A 17,843-nucleotide genomic window follows, 5' to 3' on the forward strand; every position below is an offset into this window, starting at 1 on the left:
TTACCTCTTCAGTGGGTTTCAGTAGCTGTAAACTTGAAACTTAAGGATTTAGTATTGTTCTGAATGTGGAATTCACCTCCACTGCAACTTGGATCCTGTTTAACAACTCCTCCCTTCTCTATATTACCTCCATCCATGTCTGTTCTTATTTGTACCCTGACCCTCAAAAGTTGCGTGACAAAAGCATCACCTTTTGACTGCAGAAGGCCTGTTTCTTTAGTGCGTTTAGATAAGCCTAGTATCAGGTGTGTACCATTACCAAATACTTGAGGTGTTAAGGATTACCATCTTAGCGTTCATCCTACCATTTTTATATTCTTAAGGACAATTCCACCCTTTTACACACTGTGACCAAGATTTCCACCTTGCAAGAAGGAAAGAGTCAAACCTTCAAAGTTTTTCAGTGTTTAATTTATCCCAGGCTACCTAAAATGGATGAAAACATGAACAGGCCTACTTGGGTGAGTGGTGAAAACTGAACCTGCCCTGGACTGCCTCATTTGCAGCCTGCTGTGTTCAGGTTAGGGGGCATCTGGGCAGTGCTGGCTGGCTGGTAGGGCACACGGCAATGTGTCTTGCCCTGTATGTGGAGATGGTCTCATTGTGCTTCAGTGCCTGACCACCAAGCAATACTCTGAGAACTTGGGAATGAGGGACAAGGGGAATTCATACTTGTTGAAGTGTATTGGTATTGTATTGTTCAAAATAGGCTGCAGGTAGAAGGCTCATAATTAAAACCTCAGAGTGCCTTCCATTTTGTTAAGATGTGGGTTCCTTACAGTCAGAACTGATCTTATTTCCGGTGAATTATTGTAATTATTGTAAAAGTCCAATATGGTTTGGTTTTGTGTCCTCACGTAAATCTCATTTCGAATTGTAATTCCCACCTGTTGGAGGAGGGGCCTGGTGAGAGGTGATTGAAACATGCGGGGGGTGGACTTTCCCCTTGCTGTTCTCGTGAGAGTGAATGAATTCTCACGAGATCTGATTATTTAAAAGTGTGTAGCTTGCCCCTTTGCGCTCTCTCGTTCTCTCCTGCTCCTTTGTGTGGAGATGTGCCAGCTTCCTCTTCTGCCATGATTGTAAGTTTCCTGAGGCCTCCCTGGCCATGCTTTCTGTACAGGCTGTGAAACTGTGAGCTAATTAAACCTCTCTTCTTTATAAGTTACCTTGTCTCAGGTAGTTCTTTATAGCAGTGTGAAAACAGACTAACACAAAGGCCGTCTTTCATGTGGAACTTGTTTTTGCGTATTGGAAACATTGCTAATCTGTGTTTGGGAATGAATCTTACCTTTTTATAGAGTATCAGTGGGATCAGGTGTTTGGGATTTGGAGCTGTCCTTTAAAATAACTTTGACAAGTTTGATTCTATCTTGGCTTTCTTGCGTTTACATTCTTAGTGTTCATTGTATTTTTTTGTTACAGTGCTTTTTTTGGGCACTAACATGTTAAAAACAGATGTAGAGCACCATCAGAAGGTATTCTCTTTTAAGAACTTTAAATAGAAAAAAACAGTAGAACAATGTATTAATCCAAAAGGTGGCTCTTTGAAAAAAAATTGAACTACACTAATGACATTTGTAAACAATGAGGTAGTCTCAAGAAAAAGATGAAAGTACAAATATACAAAATAAGTCCTGAGAAGAGGAGATCATAAAAACAGATAATTTGAAGAATGTTAGGAGACTACTGAACTCTTTTAAAATAAACTTTAAAACTTTGATGAAAATGATAATTTTTAGGAAAATATAAGTAATCCAGATTGACCCCAGAAGAGGTAGAAAATTTAAGCAGGTTGATTTTTATAGAAGAAATAAAGCTATGAAAGAGTTACCTCCTCTCAAAGCATTGTCTAGTTTCACCAAGATTATCTACCAAATATTTAAAGAGCAGATAATTCCAGAGCAGGAATAAATGGCTATTTCCTTGACATAGCATATCTATTTGAACCCAAAAGCCCATTTTAGGCTTAATGAAGAAACGTTGAGATTTCCACTGATGTTCAGACCAAGACGAGGAGTGAGAACAGCCTAGTACCTTTTACAGTGTGCACTGTTAGCAAAATTTTGGTGTTATCTTAGTTTTAATCCCACCTTTAAAAATAAATTCTACCTTTTTTGTATTAAGGAAACTTCCACCTTTTTATTAAGTGTGATCTAGTCGTTGATTTATACTTTGTAAGAAGGTAAGATTCAAACCTTTAAACTTCTTAATGTTTAATTTCTCCCAGGCCACCTAAATTGGATTATAACATGAATTGGCCTACTTTGAATGATAGATTATTATTTTACATTGTAGGTACAGCCAGTGTGATCAGACAAAGCAATTCGAGAACTACAAAAGAGGAAAAAAGATCAGAAGTTCTTAAATACATAAGGGAATGCAGCATTTGATAAAGGTGGTATCTCAAGTCAGTGGGGAAAAGGTGAAATATTCAATAAATGGTATTGGGACAACTGGGTAGCCATATGGAAAAAAAGGTTGGATCTCTACACCGTAAGCCAGGATAAATTTCAGTGTTTGATGGAATAAATTCCAGATATATGATGATAATAGCTCACACTTGTTAAGTGTCTTGTATGCCAGGCACTGTAGTAATTTACTAATGCATTTAATCCTTACGGTAACCCAAAGAAGTAGTAACTGTTATCACCACTTATAGATGTGGAAACTGAGGCCCATAGATGTTAGGCAGTTTAAACAACATACATTGCTAATAAGTAGTGGAGCTGGGATATGAACGTAGTCAGTTTGGCTATAGAGTTTCTGGCCTTAACTCCTATACTCTTTTTCCATTTAGGTTATTGTTAAAAATGAAACAGTATGAGAACAGAATGTTTTTATAATCTGGGTGTGAGGAAAGCCATGACTTAACCATGACTTGAAAATCGGAAAACGTAAGACTGATAAATTAGATTATATCACAGTAAAAAGACTGATAAATTAGATCATATCACAGTAAAATTCTTCTGCATGGCAAAAATCATCATAAGCAAAGCCAAAAGACAAACGATGGTAAATAGTTGCAATTCATATCATAGGTGAAGGACCAATCTTTTTAATTATATAAGAAGCTTCTAGAAATAAAAACACCAACATCCATTGGCAAGGTAGACGTTAGGTTATGAACAGACCGTTTACAGAAAAGTACAATTGGCTTTTAAGCATATAAAAAGATGCTCAACTTCACTTATAATGAGAATGCAAATACCATTTTTCATGTTTCAGACTGGCAGAAATCCAGAACTTTGACGATACACTGTGTTGGTAAATTCTTAAGGAAAAATACACTCTTGTACATGGCTGGCAAGAGTATAAATTGGCTCAACTCCTATGGAAGGCAATTTGGTTGTATCTATCAAAAATTCAAATGCATATACCTTTTGACCCAGGAATTCAATTTATGGGAATTTATCGTCTGGACATAACTGCTATGCATGCCAAATGATGACTGCACCAGGTTATTCACTACAGCTTTGTTTGCAATAGCACAAGACTGGAAACAACCCAGGTGCCTATCAGTAGTGGCTAGTTACATAAATTACAGTTCATTGTCACAATGGATATGCAGCTGTAAAAAAGAATGTGGAACATCTGTGTGAATGGGTATGGAGGGATTGCCAAGATGTAGCATTAAGTGAAAAAAGCAAGGTCTCAACAGTGTATATATACAGTATGCTAACTTTTCTGTGAACAGAAGGGAAAATAATATGTATAGAGAAACTTTGAAAGGATAGCTAAGAAATTAATGGCTGAGGAGGGGGCTGTGTAATGAGGATGGATGGAAGACATAGACTTTTGATGCTTTTTTGTAACTTGCTTCTTGTAATGTGACTGCATTTGTGAATTACATAACTCCACTTTGAAGATGATCTGTCTCGCTGTTTTTAGTCTAATTGACCACCTTTCTGTCATCTTTTGTCATACTTACTTGAAGTTTTTTTTTTTTTCAATTTTGCTCTTTCTTGTCAAGTACATCTTTTTTCTGCAACTTGCTTTTGTAATCAAAATCTACATTTTGGCGTGATTGAAAAATCAAAATTTAGAGAGTGAAATCGGAATAAGTTAATCCAAGTCATTTTACATTTCATAAATATTCATTTTTATTGAAGCATCAATTGTGATGGCATCATTTATACAAAGAACAGATCTTTGAGGACAAATTCCTTCCACTATTATGTAGAAGGCATTATGTGTATTTCTTGTATTGTGAGTGATGTACGTTGATTTTTAAAAGAAAATGATAGAAAACAGTTTTCCTTTTAGAAAAGTTTTCCCCAATGTGTGATTAATTTCTAAATTGTAGGATACAGAATTGTTATTTCCCCTCTTTGCATCCTGCCCAGAGCTCTTTGATTTTACAACCTGTTCCAGAACGTTTAGTGTTTCCCTGAAGTCCCTGGGATGAGGGTATTCTGTACCTCCCACAATGTGATCCTTACCTGCTTTCCCAGTCTTTTTCTCCACTGTGTCCCTGTAGAACCCCATCTTCTGCCTAATGTGTTTCACTTTTCTGCCTCTGTATTGCTCACACGACCATACCCATAGCGTGGATTGCACACTTGGATCTTTTTACTTAGTCATTCATTAAATGTCTATTAAAGGCCTGCTTAGGAAAGACCTGTATTGTCCATATATCCTTATCTTCAAGGAAGCATCCTTGAAATTTGCCCTGCTCTAATTCCCCTTCTCCCGGAAACCCATCCTTTTTCTCTCCAACCTAAGTGATCTCCTTCTTCTCTACTGGACAAATAGCTATGTACTACTTTATGAATCCTTTCTATGGCATCTTGCGTTGCTAATTAGATGTCTTATTGCACGGAACTCGCACAATCTGTCTCATCTCCCCACGTAGTGAGCTCACAGCACTTCACCAAGAGTGCTGCCCACCAAGAACTCACAGCACTTCACCAAGAGTGCAGTCAATAGTGTTTTATGAACGTTGGGAAGAATATGGTTAATGCCTGAGAACAAAGACCAGAAATGTCATCTTTTCGTGTGACCATCATGATACAGAGAAGTTAACAGAGCTGCCCCATTGTCCATGGGGCATGTTCCGAGTTTTTCCAGTAGTGGTGATAGATTTTGGCTGATTTCTCTGAACTTTTCCCTGAGTTATTTTTGTGACTTTGGCCAGGATGAAGGGTGGGGAACCCCTCATCTTTAAATCTCTGAGCAGAGACTTGCTAGGCATCTGCAGCAGTGGTGGGGAAGAGGTCATTAAGCTCAGTGCAGTCCACGTGGGGCCTTGGCCTGCGATCTTCAGGCTCAGGAGTTATTGTGAGCCCCTGCGTTGGGTGGGGGAAGGGAGGAAAGGAGGACAGCTGAGGCAAGGAGTGGGAGCCTGGCTGGGGGAGGAGACATCAGCCTGGGGCATGGGTCTTATGAGGGTGAGTGGCCGCCAGGCCCTCAGCAAGGACCAGAGTGGAAGCCTCTTTGCTAAGCTTGGTCTGGCTCCTGCATGGGTCCCAGCAGCGTGCCATCAATCATCCGTTCCTCCTTGGCAGATGGCCAGGCTCCTTCCCATGCAGCAGCAGCAGCAGCTGGCTGGCCCTGCCCTCCTGTTTCAGCTGACATCGGCAACCCTCTGGGGATGTATGGAAGACTGAATTCTACAAGAGATGCTTTCAGGATGTCAGTGCATGATGAATGAAAGTTGTGGATCTTCTACATGCTGCTCTTATCTTCCTCACATCATAAACTCCAAGTTTGAGAGCATCACAATATTCATCGATATGTAGCACTACACAATGAACTGAGGGCAGGAATTGACTTACTCTTTGTACCCGGAACACAGTAAGCTGATGATAAATACTTGTTGAAAGACTGTAGCATATAACCTGTTGAGTTGTTTGAGAGGCCAGGGTTCCTCTGAGCAGTATCATGCCAACAGACACACGCATGTTATGTATTATGGCACATAATCGGTAAGTCCATAACTGTTGGAGTAATGGGGACGAGCATAGTGCACTGAAGGGTACAGGAAGCATCGGGGTTTGGGGGCTCCGGCCTACATTTGTGGTTATGTTACTGGTTTTTCCTATCGCATCAGAAAACTTTATTAACTAGATGGAATTTCTGCAGCCAGATGAAAATGTATGTGATAGGAGTGGATCGTGTGATAGGAGTGGATCGTGTTAGCTGCGTGAGATTGCTAGTGAGGCACTGAGTTGTCATCAGGTAGCAATTCCACCATTTCCACTGGAATTCCTTAGCACATTTTAAGCTAAAAGAGGTAAGAAGTCAGAAGGGTAAGAGTCTGGCCATGGCTTTGCTTTCTTCTCTCACGCTTCCAACCACCCTCGTCTGAAAGCTACATTTCACCTTGTGAAAGTTCTGCCCTTCTGTTTCCAAATACGAGATGCTGTAAGCCTGAACTCAGATCTAAAACCAAACTTAGCATTTTGTTTCCAAAAGATTGACTACATATTTTAATTTCCCAACCTCTCTCAGTGGCACTGCTCTCCTCTCAAATCCCAGAAGCCGCAGTCAGGGTCATCTTTGAGCCTTACCTCTACATTTGAGTTGTCCTTCCTCCCATGAGTCCCGATGACTTCTTTTCTTCATTGGTCTCTGATCTGTCTTCACTCTCCCCTGCCTGAGCTGTTCAGAGCATTATCAACATCTACCTAAAATTTGAATTTCATTCTCTCACTGTTTAGGGAACAGCAGCGACTTGGACCTGTCCAATGACACTCTTCAATGCTGGACACTTGCTGTAATTTGCTGCTGGCCTCAGTGTTTCAGATCTCCACTTCCACCCCGAGGCTGGCTCCTGCTCTGAGCTCCTTCCTTGCAGGTTGCTATGGTCTGAATGCCTATGTGCCCCTACTGAATTCATGTTGAAATCCTCACCCCCCCAGGTGATGGGGGATTAGGAGGTGGGGGCTTTGGGAGGTGATTAGTCATGAGGGTGGAACACGCATGAGTGGGATTAGTGCCCTTGTAAAAGAGACCCCAGATAACTAGCTAGTCTTTTCGGCCATGTGAGGACATGGTGAGAAGGCGCTGTCCGTGAACCAGAATTTGGGCTCTCACCAGACACTGAACCTGCTAGCGCTTTGATCTTGGACTTCCAGTCTCCAGTATTGTGAGAAAGAAGCTCCTATTATTGATAAGCTGCCAGGTTATGGTAAATTGTTATAGCAGTCTGGCGGACTGAGACACAGGATGTTTTTTCCTTGCAGCCCTGTCTAAAACATCTTGGGGCTTTCAAGGCTAAACTTGGCTTCTTCCACTTCTCTGCCGCCCCTTGGGGCTGTTTCAGCTTAGATTGCTCTTAGAGTTGGAGCTGGAACTAGGGCTTTGGGGCTCTGTTTTGTGCTTTCATTCCAGTGTCTCTCCTTGGGGAGATGAAGGTAGAATCCCTTTCCTGTATTTGGTGCTTGGTGGTAGTCATTTCCCCCGCTGTGTTTTCGGAACTCCTAGCCTGGTTATAGAAGCTGCTGGCATGATCAGAGTTCTCAGATTCCAGCTGCTTTCTCCTGGATATCCTATCAAAATGCCCTCTCCGTTCAGTGAGATACTCGATGACTTTGACTCATGATGCCAAATGATTGATTTTTCCTTCACCAGAGACCTGCGTGTCCTCTGGGTCAGCTGGTACCTCTTCTGTAAGCTCGGGCTCTTATGAAAGGGGACATAGGCTTTTGCCCATTTTTTTTTTTTTTAAAGGCATGGTTTCTTGTATTTCTGTAGGAATTTTGTATCCTTTCATGGAAGTGCATCTGTAGTGTTTCTCAGCAGGGTATATTCCTAATCCACTAACTTGTTGAACAAGTATATTAAATTGGCATCATGATACAGCGAAGGCTAGTAATAATGAAACAGGAAGAAATGTGGTGACAGTATATTTAGATGATTATAAATACATTAAAATACAAAATTTAGGAACATCGGATGTCTTCCCAGAGCATGTTTATAAAATGAATTCTTTCAAAGATGTTACCATAGGAAAGTAATACTAGTGTTGAATTTTCCTTTAAAAAGTTTTCGTATTTTACCTTTGATTTAAAAAAATTAGTTTACCATTAGGTATTTTATACTTTGCATAGGTCAAAAGTCATGTGTAAAATTAAAAAGCATGGTTCAGATGAGGCCACAAATTATTCTTTGGCCTGCTGAAAAGATCTGATATTTTAACAGATTGTACCCAGAAGGGAAGAGTCATGAAAATGAAATACTTTGAGGGAATTCATAGCTTTCCACGTGGGGAAAATGAGACCTGAAGTAAAAAATTTTGAATGCACTGTTGTTAGCAGTTGAAAACCGCGTAAGAGTTTGCAGAATGGAATGGTAGGCTGTCACAGAGCCCCCGAGAAGGCATTGCATTGCTGAAAACTCCATTGCCTTACCTCTTCCTGAGAGGCAGTTTACAAAGAGCCACCTCATCTACCAGTGAGCCCTCTGCAGGGACTTCTGCTGGTCCCTGGGGTGTCTGGCTTACCATTCAGCATTCCTCACACCCCGAGATGTGTGCATCAGCATGAAGGAGTGCTTCTCAGAGCCCCAGGGTGTCCAGGTGGTCCTGATAACAGAGGGCACTCAGGCAGTCTGTCCCTGCTAGCCCCATGCAGGTTGCTGGGAAAGCACCTGACACCAGGAGTAGAAACTTCACCTGGTGGCCCATCCTCAGAATGTAAGAGGGGTTTCAGGAGCCCACTCTAGATAACTTAAAAAATGTTTTTTTTCTTCAGGCTTATGCTCATACTAACAAGCTCTGTCGAATTATTTCAATGTGCGGAATAAAAGGCAAGAATTATTTTCTGGTGCAGTTTAGACCTTGGATGAGTAGGGTTATGCAGCTGTTTGCTGCAGTAGTTTTGGGGAGACACACACCTGACTTAAGCTATGTGAATTTGGATATGAAGTTCCAAGTGTAAGATATGAACCAAAGGATTTCTCTTAACGTAACGATGGAACTCAAGCCTGAACTATTTTTGTTCATTAACAACCTGGCAGTTATTTTTTCAGAATAAGGAGATTTATGAAAGAGCTGAAGTCTGGGCTTCATTTTGCGTGTACATTTGCTTCCGCTGTTGCCGGATGGTTGGTAAAGGAAATTGATAGAGTTTTTAAAGTGAGGACTGTATTGTTTACTTTATGTGTTGTTTTAAAGTAGGAAGGAACACAGTCGCCCTGCTATCAGCCTCTGGTTTCTTGTCCCAGTGGCGCTAAGAGTCAACTCTTCTGCCTGACAGTGCCTGCTCCTACCGTGCCTGTGCTGAGATAGCTCCTCCTGGCTTCAGGGCCTTTATGGCTGAAACTTCAATTATATATATAAAATATATAAAATAATTATTAATATAACTTAATATAATAATATATAATAACTTTTTTGAGACAGAGTCTTGCTCTGTCGGCCAGGCTGGAGTGCAGTGGCATGATCTCGGCTCACTGCACCCTCCGTCTCCCGGATTCAAGCGATTCTCCATACCTCAGCCTCTTGAGTAGCTGGGATTACAGGCGCCCAGCAGGGTTTCCCCATGTTGGCCAGGCTGGTCTTGAACTCCTGACCTCAGGAGATCCACCTGCCTTGGCCTCCCAGAGTGCTGGGATTACAGGCGTGAGCCCCTCTGCCCGGCCAACTTTGTATTTTTGCTCAAAGTTTGATCTGTACATTTTGAATCATTTTTATCCTTTTTCCAATTTCCCAACTAACCAATGTTCAGACCCGAGAAAGCATTCTCCAAAACCTTTCTCTGTATTCATAAAATCATACACACACACGCACAATTGTTGGTTTTTTATAAAAATGGACCAGATTGTATTTTCTGTATCTTGCTTTTCTTGCTTAATAGTACATCATAATATCTCCAGTTCAGCTGATATATCTGTTTTTCTTTTTTTGAGACGGAGTTTCACTGTTGTTACCCATGCTGGAGTGCAATGGCGCGATCTCTGCTCACTGCAACCTCTGCCTCCCAGCTTCAAGTGATTGTTCTGCCTCAGCCTTCCGAGTAGATGGGATTACAGGCATCCGTCACCAGACCTAGCTATTTTTTTGTATTTTTAGTAGAGACTGGTTTCTACCATGTTGGCCGGGCTGGTCTCGAACTCCTGACCTCAGGTGATCCGCCTACCTCACCCTCCCAAAGTGCTGGGATTACAGGTGTGAGCTGCTGCACCTGGCTCAGCTGGTATATCTTTAGTATGTTCTTTTATCTTAAATGACTTTTTTTTTTTTTTCGAGCAGTTTTAGGTTTACAGAAAAATTGAGTGGAAAGTACAGAGTTCCCATACACACTCCTCCCTGAGTTTCCCCTGTTAACGTCTTGCTTTAGTTACAATTGATGAGCCAATATAGATACATTATTATTAACTAAAGTCTGTAGTTTACATTAGAGTTCATTTTTGCTATCATCCAGTCTGTGGGTTTTGACAGATGCATGATGATATGTACCTACCATTGCAGTATCAGAACAGAATGCCTTCACTGCCTTAAAAGTCCTCTGTGCTTTACCTATTTGTCCATCTCCCCCTTCCCAAGAACCCCTTGCAACCACTGAACTTTTTTTATTGTCTCCATAGTCTTTGCTTTTTCCAGAATGTCATATATTTGGAATTATATAGTATATAGCCTTTTCGGTTGGCTTCTTTCACTTAACAATATGATTTGAGGAGCCTTCATGTCTTTTCCTGGTTGGATAGCCAAATTTCTTTTTATTATCAATAATATTCCATTGTATGGATGTACCACAGTTGATCCATTCACCTACTGAATAAATATGTGCATCACTTACATGGGGATCTATAATTGTTTTGGCAGTTATGAATAAAGCCTCTATTAAAATTTTTATTCAAGTTTTTGTGTGGTCATAAGTTTTCAACTCATTTGGGTAAATGCCCAAAAGTGTGATTTCTGGGTTGTATGGTATATGTAGTTCCATAACAAACTGCCAAATTGTCTTCTGTACCATTTTGCATTGCCACCAGCAATAAATGAGGGTTCCTCTTGCTCCACATCCTTCCCGGCAGTTGTTGTTATCAGTGCTTTGGATTTTAGCTATTCCACAGACATTTAGTGGGATCTCATTGTTTTAATTTGCAATTCCCAAATGATATATGCTGATGAAGATCTTTCCTGAGCTTATTTGCCATATTATGTTTTCTTTGGTGATGTGTCTGTTCAAATCTTTTGCCCATATTTCAGTTGGGTTGTTTTCTTACTGAGTTTTTTTTTTTTTTTTTTTTTTTTTTTTGGAGACAGTCTTACACTATTGCCCAGGCTGGAGTGCAGTGGTGCGATCTTGGCTCACCACAACCTCTGCCTCCCAGGCCCGAGTGATACTCATGCGTCAGCTTCCTGGGTAGCTGGGACTACAGGCATGTGCCACCATGCCTGACTGATTTTTGGATTTTTAGTAGACATGGGGTTTCGCTGTGTTTGCCAGGCTGATGTCGAACTTTTGACCTCAAGCAGACTGCCCGCCTTGGTCTCTCAAAGTGCTGAGATTACAGGTGTGAGCCACCATGAGTGGCCTATTGTTGAGTTTTAAGAGCTCTTTGTATATTTTGGATATCCTTTATCAGATGTGTCTTTTCCAATTTTTTCCCAGCCTGTGGCTTGTCTTCTTATCTTCTTGACAGTATCTTTGGGAAAGGAGAAGTTTTTAATTTAAATGACATCCAGCTTGTGGACCATTTCTTTCATGGATTGTGCCTTTCGTGTATCTAAAAAGTTATTGCCAAACCGAAGGTCACCTAGATTTTCTCCTGTGTTATCTTCTAGGATTTGTATAGCTTTGCATTTAGCTATGTGATCCATTCCAAGTTGATTTTTGTGAAGGTTGTAAGGTCTGTGTCTAGATTTATTTTTGCCTGTGGGTGTCCAGTTGGTCAAGCCCATTAGTTGAAATGACTGTCTTTTCTCCATCGTATTGCCTTTGCTCATTTGTCAAAGATGAGTTGACCATATTTATGTGGGTCTATTTCTGGGCTCCTTATTATGATCCATTTGTCAGAATAGACAAATGTCTTTTCTTTTGCTGATTGTTGAAGTTGAGTAGCATCGGTTCTCTGACTTTGTTCTTCTCCTTTAATATTGAGTTAGCTATTCTTTTTTTCCCCCTTTCCATATAAAGTTTAGAATCAGTTTGTTAATATTCACAAATAACTTGCTGGGATTTTGATTGCAATGATAGGGTTGCACTGAATCTCCAGATCAAGTTGGGAAGAACTGACATCTTGAAAATATTGAATCTACCTATTTGTGCACATGGACTATCTCTCCATTTATTTAGATATATTTCTTTCATCAGATTTTTAGTCTTGTTCTTAGGGATCTTGCACATATTTTATTAATACCAAAATATTTCGTGTTTTTTTGATGTTGATGTAAATGGTCTTGTTTGTGATTTCAAATTCCAGTTGTTCGTTGCTGGTATAGGAAGGCAATAATTGACTTTCGTATATTAATCTTGTAACCTGCACCCTTGCTGTAATTTCTTATTAGTTCCAGGATGTTTTCTGGATTTTCTACATAGACAGTCATGTCATCTGTGAATGAACAGTTTTATTTCTTCCTTCCCAATCTGTACACCTTTTATTTCTTTTTCTTGTCTTACCACATTAGCTAGGACTTCTAGTATGATGCTGAATAGGAGTAGTAATAGTGGACATCTTTGCATTGTTCCAGAACTTAGTGGGAAAGCATCTAGTTTCTACTTTTAGGTATGATATTAGCTCTGGATTTTTAAAAATAGATGTTTGTCCTCGTCCATTCGTGTTGTGATAACAGAATACCACAGAACTGGGTAATTTATAAAGAAACGTATTTTCTCACAGCTCCGGAGGCTGGCAAGTCCATGATCACCGTCAACATGTCAGCAAGTTCAGTTGTCTGCTGAAGGCTGTTCTCTGCTTCAAAGATGGTTCCTCTGGATTGGAGAAACAGTGTGTCCTCACATGGCAGAAGAACAGAAAAGTGAGCTAGCTGAATGCTCTGTGAAGCCTCCTTTATAAGGGCTTTATTCTCATCCATGAGGGATGAGCCCTCATGACCTAATCACCTCTTAAGGGTACCTCCTCTTAGTACCATCACACTGGGAATTCAATTTCAACACCTGAATTTTGGAGGGGACACATTCAAACCAAAGTGATGTTCTTTATCAGGTTAAAGAAGTTCTCTACTCTTAGTCTGCTGAGAGTTAATATGTTCTTTTTAATGGCTGCATGAAGTTCCATGGTATATATGCACATAGTTTATTAAAATGAAACATGACAAAACCACACCCTCTTTAACGTTGAAATATTGATATGTTTGTTAATCACAGCACGTGGTATGTATATGGTAAGTGCTTACGGGTACCTCCCTGTTAAATCTTGCCAAGGATATAAAATTGGTGCCAGGTTATGTAATGCTTTTGAAGCCAACTTGAGTCTTGGATCAGACTGGAAAATGGAAAGAATGTAGATTCTGTGATGATGAATACTTTGGGGAAAATAAGAGGATTAGGTAGCTGATGCCCACCTTTCTATCAAGGGAGCAAAAATGTCCTATGGGTCTTTGATCTTTGCCAGTGCATTTGGATTGGTTTCTAAGTACAGCGTGGCAGCCGGGTTATGGTATTGTTAGTTCTGGAAACTTAGTCAATTTGCATCTGGAGTCACCTAGTCACATTTGATGAAATGGGTTACAAAGTTTTAGCACCTTTCTGTAAACCAGGGGTTGGCAAATAATAGCCCACAGGCCAAGTGTGACCTGCTATTTTTTCAATTAAGTTTTAAATTTTGAGATAATGTTAGATTTACATGCAGTAGTTAGAAGTAATACAAACTGTTGTACTCTGTGGATCTGTTGTACTCTTTGCCTGGTTTCCTCAGTGGTACATCTTGCAAAACTATAGTACGTCATTACAACGAGGATATTGACAATGACAGAGTCAATATACAGAACAGTTCTGCCACCAGAGATTCCTTGTGCTGCATTTTTATAGCCACATTGACCTTCTTCCTCACCCCCTGCCCATGTGCAACCTCTGGCGACCACTCCTGTTCTCCATTGCTGTTATTTCATCATTTCAAGGATTTTACATAAACGATGTCATATAGTATGTAACCTCTTGGGATTGGCTTTTTTCAGTCAGCACAATTCCCTGAGATTCACCCCAGTTGGTTAATGTACCAGTGCTTTGTTCTTTTTCATTACAGAGTATTATTACTTGGTGTGGATGTACCACAGTTTAACCATTCACACATTGAAGGATATCTAGATTGTTTCCAGTCTTTGGCTGTTACGAGTGAAGCTGCTATGAACATTCATGTCCAGGTTTTTGTGTGAACATAAGTTTTCATTTATCTGGAGTAAGTGCCCAGGAGTGCAATTGCTGGGCACTTACATGTGATAATTGCATGTTTAGTTTCATAAGAAACTGCCAAACTGTTTCCCAGAGTTCTTCAGTTTGATATTCCCACCAGCAACATATGAAGGATCTGATTTCTCTGCATCCTCTCTAGCATTTGGTGGTAGTGTCACTGTTTTATTTTAGCCATTCTGATAGCTATGTAGTGATATCTCATCATGGTTTTACTTTTTATTTCGTTGGTGGATAAGGATGTTGAAGATCTTTTAATGTGCTTGTTTGTCATTTGTATATCCTCTTTCGTTAAATGTCTTTGGTAGACGTTAAACATTTCTAATTGAATTATTGCTTTACTCTTCAGCGGAGTCTTTTATATATTCTCATTACTAGTTTTCTGTTAGATATGTGGTTTGTAAATATTTTCTTCTAGGCTGTAGCTTGCCTTTTAATTTTCTTTTTTTTTTTTTTTTCTTAAGACTTGTACAGAGTAAAAGTTTTTAATTCTGATGAGTTCCAGCTTCCTAATTTTTCCTTTCATGGATCATGTTTTCATGTCAAGTCTAAGAACTCTTTGCCTTGCGTTGATCCTGGAGATTTTTTCCTATGCTTTTTGTTTTCCTTAAAGTTCTGTAGTTTTACATTTTATATTTAAGTCTGTGATCCATTTTGAGATAATTTTTGTTTCAGGTTGAGGTTGATGTTTAGTTTGAGGTTCATTTGTGTCAAACAGAACTCTGTGTACTGGTGTTCAGTTCCAAGGGAAGGCTGGCACTCCATGGAGGTTAGCAAAAACCATCATTATGCCAACCATCAGGAATACGATCCAGACACTTGTGCCCGCTGTATCTCAGTACGAGAGTCTCCAAGGAAAACACAACACAGTCAGGTAGTCGAGGGAGCAATAGTTACACAGAGAAGAGACAGAGCAAGATCAGTTTCAGTAGTGCGTATGGGTCCCCTGTGTCCAGGGGTCCCTCGTGGCTGCCCGTACGGGGTGGTCTGCCTACGAGCACCCCTTTTGTACTGCAACTAAGGGACCCTGTTTCCTGGGTGGGGAACAGATAGAGCAATGAGGTTGGCAGGTTGGCCAGGTGCCATGTGACACACACCCTTAAGCAGAACAAAGGCGCACACATGAGCTTGCAGCAGTGAGAGATACGTATTCCACACAAGGCATAAGCCTGCCACAGGTGATGAGGGCTCTTCATCTGTTGGTGAGATGTGTTTCAGGCCCAGGGCCCATTCTTAGGCCACTGAGTGGGGGCTGAAAGGCTGTGCACACAAGACTCCCTTTCGCAACATTTTTTTTTTTTTTTGTCTATGGATGAATATTCAGTTACTACAGAATAATTTGTTGAAATCCTTTCTCCATTGATTTGCTTCTGCATTTTTGTCCAAAATTAGTTGGCCATATTTGTGTGGGTCTGTTTCTGGGTCCTTACTCCCTCCCGTTGATCTATGGGTCTCCCTCTGTGACATTGTCATGCTGTCTTGGTTATGATGGTTATATCGCAGGCCTTAATATTAGAGTCATCCCTCCCACCTTATTCTTCCCTTTCAAGATTGTTTTAGCTGTTCTAAGGTCTGTCCCACTCCATATAAACATCCAAATAAACATCAGAATAAACTCTCTGTCAACAGAAAAACCTTGCTAGGATTTTGATAGGAATTGCATTTAGGGACAATTGATGTCTTTATTATGCTGAGTCTTTCAATCCATGAGCACAGCATGTCTTTCCATTTATTTAAGTTGCCTTCAACTTCTTTCATCAGCGTTTTGTAATTCTCAGTGTATAGATCTTGTGCATGTTTGCTATGTTCATACCTAACCTAAGCTTTTCATTTTCTTTGGAGTGATTGTAAATGATATGGTATCTTTAATTTTGGTTTCCACCTGTTCATTGATAGTATTTAAAAATGCAGTTGATTTTGGGATGTTGATCTTACATCTTTCAACCTTGCTGAACTCACTTTAGTAGAAGTTTTCTCATAGACTTTTTCAGATATTCTACATAGATAACCCTATCACCTGGAAGTAGAGTTTTAATCTGTGTGCCTTTTGTTTTTCTTGCCTTATTTCAGTGGCTAGAACTTCCAGTATTATGTTAAATAAAAGTAGTGATCTGTGGATATTTCCCTAGCCTTAAAAAAAAAGTATTGAGAGCAGACATGCTTACTTTGTATCTATCTTAGGGGAAAAGCATTCAGCCTTTCACTAAACTATCACATATGATGTCAGCTGTAGGCTTTTTTGCAGATGCTGTTTATTGAGTTACGGTAGTTCCTCTTTATTCCTAACTTCCTCAGTGTTTTTATCAGGAAAAGGGTCTTCTACCACCTGTTTAAATAAAGTTTTATTGGAACACAGGCATGCTTATTGCTTTAGCTGTTTTCTGTGTCTGCGTTCTCAGTGTAACACCAGAATCGAGTAGTTGTGATAGTGACCATATGACCCTCAAAACCTAAAATATTTATTATCTGGAATTTTACAGAAAAGGTTTGCTGAATCTTACTATAGTTTCACCAACTTTTTCTTTTGAATTGTCCTTTTTTCTTTCTTTTTTTCCAAGTTCTTCCTATCTCTTGATATTCTACCATGGTTGCAAACTCTTACTCCACACACTCTTACTCTAATTGGCTAAGACCTAGAGCTTGAGCCATTGGCTGCGGCCAGCCTCAGAAGAAAGCAGGGAGGATGGATAGATGTAGATCTAGTTGCCTTCTAAAGGCACTTTCTACTCTTTGTCTGTATTTCTATCAACGGTAGCATTTGGGGTAGTTCTAACATGTTCTTTTGATAACTTCTATTAATTCTGTAGCTTGACAGTTACCCTGAACAAATTACTTTCATTTCACTTCTTCTTGACCTCAACCTTCTTTCCTGCCTTGATTCTCTGACTGTTCCTATAGTTTGTATTGCTGTGTTTCCTTATGATGGAAAGATACATGACTTCACTGATCTCTAAGGGATCTAGGGGAGTGTTGCTTTCTATACGTGACAGTTCTTCACTTTTTAGTTACATAGTTCCATTTTGTTTTGTCTAAGGGAGGTGCTTTTTTTTTTTTTTTTTTTTTTTTTTTTTTTTTTTTTTTTATTAAATGGAGTCTCGCTCTGTCCCCCAGGCTGGAGTGCAGTGGTGCGATCTGGGCTCACTGCAAGCTCTGCCTCCAGGGTTCATACCATTTTCCTGCCTTATCCTCCCGAGTACCTGGGACTACATGCACCCGCCACCATGCCCAGCTAATTTTTTGTATTTTTAGTAGAGATGGGGTTTCACCGTGTTAGCCAGGATGGTCTTGATCTCCTGACCTCGTGATCTGCCTGCCTCGGCCTCCCAAAGTGCTGGGATTACAGGTGTGAGCTGCCGCACCCAGCCTGTCTAAGGGAGTTTTAAAATGTTTAGCTTTGAAAAGTTTGTTGCTTTCACTGAAAAGAGTGGGATGAAGTATGACCTGAGTCTCTAAGTTAGGAAATAAGTGAATAAGTTTTTTTGATCACTGAAAGGTAAACCACTGTGGTATTGTGTTTATTGATTATTA

At 40.1% G+C, this 17,843-nt stretch overlaps 1 protein-coding gene and 1 long non-coding RNA gene across 6 annotated transcripts in view; both read left to right on the top strand.

Annotated features, from left to right (window-relative positions):
- Nucleotides 1–17,843, top strand: part of MSRA (methionine sulfoxide reductase A) — a 374,600-nt gene that overhangs the window by 2,410 nt on the left and 354,347 nt on the right. The window lies entirely within an intron of this gene.
- On the top strand, nt 1,142–13,230 carry LOC124901885 (uncharacterized). Its single transcript, XR_007060815.1, has 2 exons — nt 1,142–6,799; nt 12,787–13,230. It is a non-coding gene; the product is annotated as an uncharacterized LOC124901885 (long non-coding RNA).

Source organism: Homo sapiens, chromosome 8 (assembly GCF_000001405.40).
Source record: "Homo sapiens chromosome 8, GRCh38.p14 Primary Assembly".
NCBI lineage: Eukaryota > Metazoa > Chordata > Mammalia > Primates > Hominidae > Homo > Homo sapiens.